General features: G+C 41.1%; 1 protein-coding gene across 5 annotated transcripts in view, besides 1 other annotated feature; it reads right to left on the bottom strand.

Moving 5' to 3' along the window:
- The window catches only part of FER1L6 (fer-1 like family member 6), a 268,075-nt gene that overhangs the window by 184,539 nt on the left and 71,289 nt on the right, over positions 1–12,247 (bottom strand). The window lies entirely within an intron of this gene.
- Positions 10,560–10,854: a silencer, noted in NCBI's record as "tiled region #15371; HepG2 Repressive non-DNase unmatched - State 13:Ctcf". NCBI's record gives its function as "represses a minimal TATA promoter and a strong SV40 promoter by Sharpr-MPRA in HepG2 cells {active_cell/tissue: HepG2}" and the evidence as "EXISTENCE:reporter gene assay evidence [ECO:0000049][PMID:27701403]".

Below are 12,247 nucleotides of genomic sequence, written 5' to 3'. Positions count from 1 at the left end.
GCTGTTTTTGCCAAAATTCAGAGAGGTATTTGCCAGTGTTGAATTTGCACTTTGATTCTCATTCGTATTTTTGTAAACATTTTAATCAGCAGAGCTTAGACGCTTAGTTCAATTTCCTCTCTTAAAATGAACGTGGAATATCTTATTATTCCAGAAACTAAGGAAGTGCTCAAAAACTGATGGAGAAATGTCAAAAGAACATAGCCAAACAGAAGGGGCTCCCTGTGGCAAAATATGAGGCAATTTGATTATCAAAATAAATAAGAGTGGATTATAACATGTTAAATAGATAATCCATAAGCTCATACTGATAATAAAAAGGGAAAGGGGGTTGGAAAGGAAAGGAGAGGAGAAATATATTTTTTTACATAGAGGAAATAAAAGAAAAAAACTTAAGTCACCATTTTACAATCCTTATAGTGATCATTAATTAGCTAAGAATCATCAATGAAGGCTGTATTAGTCCTTTCTATAAAGAACTACCTGAGACTGCGCAATTTATAAAGAAAAGAGATTTAACTGACTCACAGTTCTACAGGCTTAACAGGAAGCATGACTGGAAGGCCTCAGGAAACTTACAATCATGGTAGAAGGGGAAGCAAGCACATCTTACCATGGCGGAGCAGGAAAGAGAGAGTGCAAGGGGTTAAGTGCCACACACTTGTAAACCATCAGATCTCATGAGAACTCAATATCATAGAACATCAAGGGGAAATCCACCCCCATGATCCAATCACCTCCCACCAGGACCCCTCCCCCCCAACACGTGGGGATTATAATTCGAGATGAGATTTGTGTGGCAATACAGAGCCAAACCACATCAGAGGCTAAAACCATTAGATGAAAGGCTGTTGGGGGCAGTCTGGTGGTACCACTTAATCAAATGATCACAGTGATCCACAATAATGAGCCAATTGATAGCACATGCCTCCTCCAGCCATACATTGAGAACATACCATCCAAGTGCTTCTCTAGGAAAAAAAAAAAAATTCAACCTGAATCTACTTATAAAGGAATAATCAAGCAAATATAAATTGAGAAAAAAGTCTGCTAAAATCTCTAAAATGTCAATGCTGACTCTCTAAAAATGTCAAATTAATGAAGACAAAAGCAAAAACTGGGAGAACTGCCCTGTATTAAAGGAGACTAGAAACATTGTGACTAAATGCAACACATGATCCTTGTTTGGATCCTGGACCAAAGACATAAATTCCCTTACCCATAAAGGACACTGTTGGAACAAATGGAGAAATCAGAACATGTGCCATATTAGATAATGGTACTGCATCAAGAGTATCAACAGTTAACCCTGGAGGCGGAGGTTGCAGTGAACTGAGATCGACGTGGCGCCACTGCACTCCAGCAGCCTGGGTGACAGAGTGAGACTTGGTCTCAAAAAAAAGTATCAATAGTATAGTATTATACCAATTTCCTGAGTGGAGTGGAGGGAGTATTGTGGCCAAGAGGATCCCCTTGTTCTTAGGAAATGATGAATAATGAATTATTTGGTGATTATGCATTATGATGTCTATGACTAAATGGTTCAGAAAAAAGCAAGGATATAGAGAAAACAGAAAACAGATGGTGAAATGTTAACTACCATATCAAGGTAAAATGCCTACAGGTGTTTATTACTCTATCTTGAAATGCTTCTGCAGATTCTCAAAATAAATAGAAAATTTTTAAAATAAAACTTCATGAGAAAAAGCTGGAAAAAAAAGCAAGAAAAATGGTGAAACCGGATAGGATTTGGAGAAAGGGAGGCTGGAAATGACCACAGTGCCTTGGTTCTAGATCTGAGTGATAGTTACATGACTTCACTTTGATCGTTTATTGAGCTGTCCATTTTTGTTTCATATACTTTTCCTCATGTTGCTCAATAAGAAACTGATATTCTAAAATCTTGCCTTATTCAATTATTTTCCACATTTTGTTTCATCACCAACACACTCAGACCTGTGCATGTGTGCACATGCACTCACATGTGTGTGCACACATATGCATAAGAGCTGGGTGCTGCTTGCTACGTGCCAGACACTGAGTTATGCACTAGGGGGAAAGTGAAAACCTGATCCCTGTGTCTGGCAGCTTATAGGCTAGTGTGAGGCTACACACACACAGACACACACACACACACACACACAGACACACATATGCTATGATAGAAAGATCAGACTATAGGGGGAAGTGGGTGGGGAGCAGACTTCTCCAAGGGCATGTCAAATAACCATGGCTTTGAAGGATGAGGAGGGTCTGGGCAACAGGACATGTTACTTTCTGCTCTGGTTTGGAACACTGCATTTACAGGATCCATTAATGACTTTGGGGACATCCTTTAGTGATGAGCTTTAGAGCTGTCCAGAGCCCTCCAGCCATGGAGTGGGAACAGCCAGACCTACACCATTTGCTGAAAGATGCTCCTCTTCCTCAGAAAAAGAAACCCTCGGACACACCAGGTGTGGGTCAGGGGAAGGCACTGATTCAATCAAGAAAAACCTGGGGCTCACAGAGGTTGAATGGCTGGTATAAAATCAGGTCATTAGTGGCAGAACCAGGGCCAGAACCCAGCCACATCCTGTTCTTTGATAGTTGACCCTTTTACCTGTCTGTCTCCTCTACTAGCACAGCAATAGCTTGTTTGGTTGGCCTGATTTTGTTTTTGTCTGTAAACTCCTGAAGGGTAGAATTTATACTCTTTTCATCACCAGTAGCCTCATACACATAAGCACAATATTTTGCAAATGCAGGTGCTCAATGAATGTGTTTAATACTCCAACGCCCTAATTACAGATAAAGGAAAAGAAGCCCAGAGAAGCTGTAAGTTGCCCAGGTTCCTATTGTACTTGCTGAAGGATCTAATTCTAGAAACTAGTTCTTCTTTTGCCCAGTCCTCCCCCCACCATTACGCCAATGCATTCCTGCTTTGGCTAATTTGAATGCCACCTTCAGGAAACTACCAGATCCAAATCCCTCCTTCACCGTTGTTAACTTAATTTTTAAAATTAGCTCATCAGTTATTTTTCAAATGAATTTATATTAAAACTTATGTTCTATTTTAAACAGAAAATGAGTAACACATGCCTTAAAAGAAAGTAACTTTAAGAATAAATACGGAGCCTGGCACGGTGGCTCACACCTGTAATCCCAGCACTTTGGGAGGCTGAGTCAGGTGGATCACCTGAGGTCAGGAGTTTCAGACCAGCCTGGCCACCATAATGAAACCCTGTCTCTACTAAAAACACAAAAATTAGCTGGGTGTGGTGGTGTGCACCTGTAATCCCAGCTACTTGGGAGGCTGAGGCAGGAGAATCGCATGAACTCAGGAGGCAGAGGTTGTAGTGAGTCGACATCACGCCACTGCACTCCAGCCTGGGCTATAGAGCGAGACTCCATCTCAAAAATAATAATAATAAAATAAAATAAATACGGTAGGGGAAGAAAGACACTGTTAAATAAACTGCAGCTCTAATAGAAGCTGTTGACTGAGATGGTTCTGAGTAAAAGGCCTATTCTCTCCTTATTCAAAAAAGAATTGGCAAGTTTTAGAGAGCTAGAGCTGTTACAGATAAGATTTCTTTTGCAAAAGCAGAATTGTAAGATATTTTTTAAAATAACTGTTTTTGTACTTCAATATTTAGTTCCATGTCACTGCACTCCCTAAAATTATGGCTTATACCCCCAGCAGGATGTGCCCTGTAATTGGGAAAGAGTTCTCTGCCTATATTTTTGTGTTAAGTGCCTTGACTGTTGAGATTTTAATATTTGCAACAAAAAGAAACAGGCAACAATATTTGATAGCACATAATGAATTGTTGATGATGTCACTTGTAGAGAAATTGGGGATGGAAGAAAACTGCTCAGGCTCTGTTCAATCTCATCCTTGAAAAAGAGAAAACAAACAAAAATACATTGTCTTTGCAGTTCAGTTACTAACAGGTCTTTCCTGCACTGGCCTATTGCAGTGGGTTGGATACTTGGCAGAGGGTTGTGAGGGTTTCTTAACCCATATCCTGCGGTACTTACTAACTGCCCTTTGTCTTTGTAAACCAAAACAATTTGTTTTTCTCACAACAGATGTGTACATAGCAAGTGAATTTCAATGGAACCAAGAGAGGTCCAGACACACTAATCCCAGATGAGATTCCTAGTAAACACCCCTCCTTGATCCCACAAAGAGGAAGTGAAAGAGAAAGAGAGCTGATTCTTCCAGTCTTCTACCAGTCTCCGTGGAAGAAGCTCAGGCTGGGGTAAAACTCATCCATCGACCATGCAGTTTTAGTGGATCTGTTGGTACACAAGACCCTGCCCTGGTTATTGGGCAGATTTACAACTTCCCATTAACATATCATTTTCCCCATGAGATACAATAAGAGATACTGCGGAAAATGCAGGCAGGGCCTCCAGAGCTTCAAAGGGTGTAGGTTTGCTGTTCTTACCCTTATGGCTTTGGGGTCTCTTGACAACTCTAAAGCCTACCACCAAAGGATGTTTCCAAAGTCATTAATGGATCCTGTAAACACCATATTCAAAACCATAGCAGAAAGGGCCTGTCAAGAAGAGTAGAACCCCAGTGGGGTGGAGGTGGGAGTCAGCCATGGGAGTCTCCAGGAAGATGCTCAACCCATGCCTCCTCACAAAGGGAGGTATAGACGTGATCTCCATCCCAAGTCATCAGAGGCCCTCCTCAAACTACAAAGACCAAGACCATGAACAGCAACATCTGCTTATTAAGTCCTACCACGTGCCAGGTACTCTGCCCAGTGTTGTACATGCACCAGCCCATTCCATCCCACAGCAATCCCTGAAGCAGGCACTAGTGTCATCCCTATTTTAAAGATGAGGAACCTGAGCAAGTTAAGCCACTTCTCTGGGGCCACTCATACAAAACGTGGTAGAAATGGAATTTGAACCCAGGCACTCCCTCCCTGAGCACAGGAGATTAGTCACTGTGCTCACCCATCCAAGTCATGAGTGTCCATAGTGCTCACCATTAAGTCCTGCCTCTTCTCTTTCTAAGGCCCAGCTCAAAGGAATGGCTCCTTCCTCTGCCCTCCAAATCCACTACGCATGTGTTTATGTGTATATGTTATGGCACTGTTAATTCATTTATTCATATAACACAAATATATTAAGTATCTTTATAGGCACCAAGAACACATGAGACAAAAAAAAATGTCAGGGAGGGAGGAAGCTGTGGTTATAAAAAATAGAGATAGACAACATGTGGGATCCTTGTGGCAATGGAGCTATTCTGTATCTTGATTGTGGTGGTGGATACACAAACTAATGTGATAAAATTACATAGAACTAAATACACACATTCACATCCACACACATCCATGAGTACAAGTCAAACTGGGGAAATCTGAATAAGATCAGTGGATTCTGTCAATGTCAATATCCTAGCTGTGATATTTTTCTATGTTACCTTTGGGCAAAACTGGTTAAAGGGTACGTGGGACCTGTCTGTATTGTTTTTTACAACTGCATGTTATCTACGTTTCTCAATAATTTACAATTATCTCAATAAAAATTTCAATTCTAAAAAAAAAAAAACAGTGCCATCTAGTAGGAAAATGTACAAGAGCCACAGACCTGAGGCTAGGAACGACTCAGTCATGTACATACTTATCTTACCCACTAGACTGTGGTATCACTAAGGGGGGAACACATGTCTCTTAGAATGCTACAGCCCTAGGGGAAAACAATGAAATAAATTTTCATGTGCTTTCATGTGCTTCCTCTCTCCCCAGTTCTCACACTTGACTTTATTTGGTAGTACTGACCCCTCATGCCAAAGATGTACCCTGATGTCTTCCCTTCCTTGTGTGTTACCCATCAAGGGCAGCCCTCAATACCGTGTCTCCAATCAGGATATAAATGACAGAGTCAGCGGAGAGTAGTAGAATTGGAGGGCAACAGAAAGACCACCGGCCCCAGAAAGAGGAGACCCGCCTCTGTATTGACCAAGTTAATTCTTCCTTGATGCAGACTTCCTCCCTAGAAAAGGGAAGAAACAGTAAGCATGAGCTCTGGCAGCTAAGAGGTGCTAGTGTCCTGGAAAGAAAATAGGATTCTGGAACCAAAAGAGCTGAAGTTAATTCTCAATTCCACTACTTACTGTCTATGTCTCTGTGGATAAATTATTGAACCTCTCCAATTTTTAATGTCTACAAACAGTTATAAAGGCTGTTCTCCTTTCCCCACCTAAATGTGAAAACACTTTGAAACTCCAGAGCACCAAACGAAAGCCCTGCCCAGTTCACTGCTGCATCTCATGCATGTGCATGGGGCAGAGTAGCCACTCAATAAAACGTGTTAAATGAATGAATCAAAGAATCACATAACAGGCCTCAAGTAAGACCATATTCTTTGTTCCAACCATCCCTTAATACACCTCTCAAGCCAAGAACCGGGAACATTCTAGAGGACCTCTAGTCAGGACTTCTTCATAGATCATCTTTTAATCCTCAGGAGACCTCATTCCCAAGGCCATTGGTGAATTCCAAACTCACGGATTCACACTGGTGAGTTCCAAGCTCATAATAATACCTATTTCACTGGTAATTAAGTCACCCCCATTTCCCTTAAAAACACCTTGCCTGGGTGTGCCTCACTTTCTCTAGAAGGCTATTCTCAACAGCATATCAGTTTAAGTAAATGATGACTCCTGTAAGAATGACCTGGCAAATAACCCTATTCTACTGATAACTTTCAACAGTGAAAGGAGATATATATGAAAGAATCCTGTTTCCTTGTTATTATCCTCAGATTCCAGTTGTATCCATTGGATTTCTTAATTGCAAACCACAGAAACCCTCTCTGGCTTAATTAAATAGAAAAAGAATGTGTTAAAGGCTGTGAAACCATTTTCAGATTTTCAAGGAGGCACAGAGAACCAGGCTTGAAGATTACAAAGCCAGGAGCAGTGCTCACCTCACCACAGATAGCCCTGGGGAAACCCCACCTCTGGACACAGACACTACTCATCCACCCCACTGGGAACTGGAGGATGCTGCAGAACCTCTGCTACTCCCCTAAGAAAACAAGCCTATTTGCCCTTCCCCACAGCAGAATGGTTCTACTCTACCTGTTTATTTGTGCCACTAGCTTTACATTCAAAATCTCAAATGCAAGCCATCTGGTTGGTGGAGCCTGTCACATGCCTGCATTCTAGCTGCAAGGGAAGCTAGGAGCAAGTTTAAATTTCCTTTAAAGGAAATTTAAAGGTGCAGAGCAGCCAAAAAGAAAAACAAAGGTCCATTCTACCAATAAAAAACTTCAATAATTTGCCATCAGGCTACAGTAATATTAGTTCATCTAAGTATCATTTTTGCTCCAAAAAAGTTTAACATATTAGAATATTCATCTATGTTACTTTTGTATGCAAAGTTAAGCATTTATTAAGATTTCGTAAGGAAAATATGAGAAGATTTTTTTCCAAATGCCATTCAAAGATAATTTACAAATCAATGAAACCTTCTTATATTCCTGCTGATAAAGAAATTAACATCCTAACTCTTACAATCATTTATAATAATTACATAAACAAAATCATCCATTATTCATGATATGCACATTGCATCCATTTCTGGAAAGAAAAAAAAGCCATGAAAAGAAATCGCCAGACAATAAACACTGTGATATATAAAGTTGCAAGAAGGGATTCAGTAAAGCTTCATAAAGAACAAATCTTGTCAAACTAAACCAATTCAGCTCTCTAACCAAGATAAGTTTAGAACATTGAGAAGAAGCAATAAATGTGATCTATTTTTATTTAGTCAGGGTTTGGCATTCTGTCTTACATAATGTGAACGTCAATAAAGTAAGATAATACCAGCCTGCCCACCCAGCTATTAACTAGAAGTACAACTTCTAAGAAAAACATTAAAGTAAGATTTCTACTAAAACAAATGGTGCTGCTACAAAAAACCAACGTAAAGGTTTTCAAAACTCAGGATAATTATTACAAAATTTGACAAGCCAAAATTCCAATTTAACAAAAACTGAGCTGCTCCTTGGATATTTAAATACAAAATTGTGAATTCTATCAATGTATCCTGGCCACTCAAATGTCCCACGGTTTTCCCAAAGGGTCAGCACAGATTCTACTATTGTTGAGCAGCTTCATTAGAAACCTGGATAGTAGAAAGAAAATTTCTTTCATGAAGCCTCTTGCCTTACCTAGCGATTGCATTTGCTATTGTTACTGACTTGCTGAATCGCTTCAGCCAAATCACGAGTTTGAATAGTTTTTTTCCCAAAATGAGATTGGTCGTTGATTCTTGTTGAGCTATCTGACTCACTTCTAGGCCATAAAACTAGGCTCCCAGGAGACTCATCTTTTTTTTTTTTTTTTTCCTGCCTGCTGACTATCTATGACCCTGGGCAAATTACAAAAGTTCTCTGGGCTCCAGTGTTCTTACTAGCACCAATGTTGGGCCAACTCTATCTCATAGAGTATCATGAGCATTAACTAAATTGATACTTGTAAAGTGCTTAGAACAGTGCCTGGCACATAATAAATGTGAAATAAATCATATGTATTACAAGCCCACCTCTTTTACCCCAAATCTTTGGAGTCCAATATGTTACAAAATTTATAATCTTTCTGATTTTAGGAGAGAGAGAGAGAATTAAGTAGTCTTCCATTAGAGTCTAAGATAATATTTCATAGTAAAATGTAATATTTCTATAGCAAATAGATATATTACTTAGAATATATATTACTTAGACAATAAATAGCTTCACATCAAGTAGTACAGCAAAAGAGTTTGTGCCACACTGAGAGAAAACTTCCAGTTTTCAGAGCTGTATGGATGTTGGAATTGTGAATAAGAGATTGTGGGCCTGAGTTGTGGCTATTCATAGTTTATATTCTGTGCCATTGCCTTATTATATATTCTACCCCCTAAAGTCTTCCAGGTCTCCTGAGTTTCTGATTGATCCCTGTATTCTTTGTATACAACCTTGGCCTAATGTTAGACAAGGTTTGCCTCCCCCACCATAACCTGAACTTACATCCTGCCCGCTCTAGCCTTCCCGGTGACGAACTCCCAGAGCTGGCCGCAGGCCAACCTTTCCCCTATGCACACTCGGGTCCTTGTGCACGGGAGCCAGACAATCTGGCCTGGGGAAACTGCATGGGCCACCTACTTCCAGGCCACGTGGACATAGTCTTTGTCCCAGAATCCAGAGGAAAGTAAGCCACCGGGATTCTTAAACATAATACTAACCTACCCTCAGAAGGCCGTCATGCAAAGAACACTCAATATGACATCACAACAAGATTCTCTTGAACTTCCAGGAATGTATGCCCAGCATCCCAAGTCTGAGAAGCACTCCTAAAGCATGCACTAGGGGACTGCTGCCACCACGTCACCAAATTTGAATATCTAGTCCCATTCTGAGTGTTAATTTACACTGCATTTTTTTATAAATGTTGACTGCCATAATTTATATAGCCATTATAAGAAGTCAGTGAGAACTTTAACGCCTTTTCTGTCATCTCCCAATAAGAAGTGAGCAGGGCTGGTTTCACAGATGTGCCACTTGTGCACTGGGCTCCATGCATAGACAAGCCCCATGCTTGCTTTATTGCTCTGCTCTTACCATCTTGAAATTCATAATCATTGTCAAACAAAGAGTCCCATGTTTTCTTTTGGACTGGGCCCTGCAAATAATGTAGCTGTACATGGAGCTGATGTTTGTAAGCAAAGCATTCTGTTATTTTCAGAAGGACCACTCAAATGTGTCTGGAAAAGACCAAACAACCCCAGACGGCAATGGTCTCCAAGGAAGGGTAGGCACACTCTGGGGTCTGGGCAAGACCGTCCATGGCAGTGCAGGAAGGAAATATTGAAACTTCTATTTATGTACACTTTATCTCATTGTTTATCTCTGTTTTTGAATGTTGCCTCCTGCTATGCTTTCTTCCTTCCATTTCATGGTAATGCCAATTTCACAGAATTGCCAATTTTCAGCTGGGCACACAGCCACCAAAATTACAAAATTGCCTTTCCTAGCATCCATTGCAGCCTGGTGCCTTATAGCTGATATGGCCGTGTGATCATTTTTAGCTGACAGGATGTTGGTCAATATGATGCTGTAACTTCCAGCTCTGTCCTGAAAGACAGGTGTCATGTTGCATCCTGCCAAAATTTTCTTCTATCCTGCTACTTGGAATGTGGATAATTCAGCAAACCATCCTGGGCCTCACAGATGAGTGAAACACTGTCAGGATTTCAGAGCTACAGGGAGGCAGAGGCTGGGTCCCTGGGTTCCCTCATAGAGCAGAGCTGCCACTTTGACCCTAGACTGTCTCCCTCCTAACTATTCCATGAGAGAGAAGTCCATTTCTATCTATTGAAGCCACTGTTTTCAGTGTCCATTACATATCGATAAATCAACATTCTGTCAGTACCTTAATACAAGAATAAAATTTATTAATAACAAATAATTGTAATCAGATGGGCAATCAAAAATTTAGAGATTTCACTTCTAGGAAATTGAATTTTAGATAGCCCATTGAATTTGAGATACATCTGGATCAAGATCACAAGTTTATCTTAGATAAATAAGTGAGCAAACATGAACAACCGGGGAAGCATTCTATTAACATTACACCATCCTCTTGGTTTTGACAGTGACCATGAGAGAACAGGGAGGTGAACAGTACGCAACCAAGTGAAGAGGAAAGTGTGGCTGCTTGCACCATCTAGCAGCCTTTCTTGTTCAGTGCACCTCATTAAAACCACAGAAAATGATTTGTGTGGGTTTTTTTCTCAATTCTCCCAGGAATAGTATGTAACTAGTAGCATTCTAAATGCATAGCAGAGAAAATGTATTATATACGATGGATGCCTCTGAGTGCCAGGGCTTCATCCTCTCGTGGAAGCCTGGTTAAGACAGACAGAGTGTGCCCTGATTAACCGAATATTCCAATTCACTATTTTCACATTCTTTTATTTATTTATTTTTTTTTTTTTGAGATGGAGTTTCAGTCTCGTTACCCGGGCTGAAGTATGATCTCGGCTCACTGCAGCCTCTGCCTCCCGGGTTCAAGCGATTCTCCTGCCTCAGCCTCCCAAGTAGCTGGGATTGCAGGCATCTGCCGCCATGCCCGGCTAATTTTTTGTATTTTTAGTAGAGACTGGGTTTTACCATGTCGGCCAGGCTGGTCTTGAACTCCTGACCTCAGATGATCCACCTCAGCCTCCCAAAGGGCTGGGATTACAGGCGTGAGCCACCGCACCCAGCCATATACTTTTTTTTTTTTTTTTTTTTTTTGATACTGAGTCTCCTCTGTCACCCAAGCTGGAGTGCAGTGGCTCGATCTCAGTTCACTGCAACCTCTGCCTCCCAAGTTCAAGCAATTCTCCTGCCTCAGCCTCTGGAGTAGCTGGGACTACAGGCACCCACCTATATATTTAGTAGAGACGGGGTTCGCCATGTTGGTCAGGCTGGTCTTGAACTTCTGACCTCAGGTGATCCACCTGCCTTGGCCTCCCAAAGTGCTGGGATTACAAGCTTGAGCCACCATGCCCAGCCAGATTTTCACTTTTTTTTTTTTTTTTTTTTTCTTAGTTGGAGTCTCGATCTGTAGTCCAGGCTGGAGCGCGGGGGCGTGATCTCGGCTCACTGCAGCTGCCTCCTGGGTCCCAGTTCAAGCAATTCTCCTGCCTTGGCCTCCCGAGTAGCTGGGATTAAAGCCACGTGCCACCATGCCCAGCTAATTTTTGTATTTTTAGTAGAGATGGTGTTAGTTAGGTTCCTCATCTGTAAAAATGAGGTGATAATAGAATCTACCTTATAGGGCAGTTGGGAGGATTAAATAAAATAACGCATGGGCTTAGCACAGGGCCAGGCATATGTTAAGGGTTCCTTAAGTGTTAGCTGCTATTATTGATATTGTCATCATCATCATCACCAACATCATCACTATGCTTAAATTACTGATTTTAAAAATAACCTAAAATAAATTGGCTACTCTTATGCATAACTTTTTCTGAGAACTCGGGAGTACCTGCAGAATTTTGCAGTGCCCTGGGGAAGCAGCATGACATTGAGTTGAACTATATGAAGTTGCTTAGAGTCAACTGTTTTTGACCCATTCAGATGGCAATTTCATATAGTTCAACAGAATACGTGGAAAAAGCAAGGGCATCAAAGCCAATGGCCGTGCATTGTATCTCATTCTGCAGGTGACATTGACGAAGTTGCTTCATTCGCCTCTCTGTGCCTCTGT

Source organism: Homo sapiens, chromosome 8 (assembly GCF_000001405.40).
Source record: "Homo sapiens chromosome 8, GRCh38.p14 Primary Assembly".
Taxonomy (NCBI): domain Eukaryota; kingdom Metazoa; phylum Chordata; class Mammalia; order Primates; family Hominidae; genus Homo; species Homo sapiens.
The sequence above is the reverse complement of the archived record's forward strand: the minus strand, read 5'-3'. Positions and strand labels throughout refer to the sequence as shown.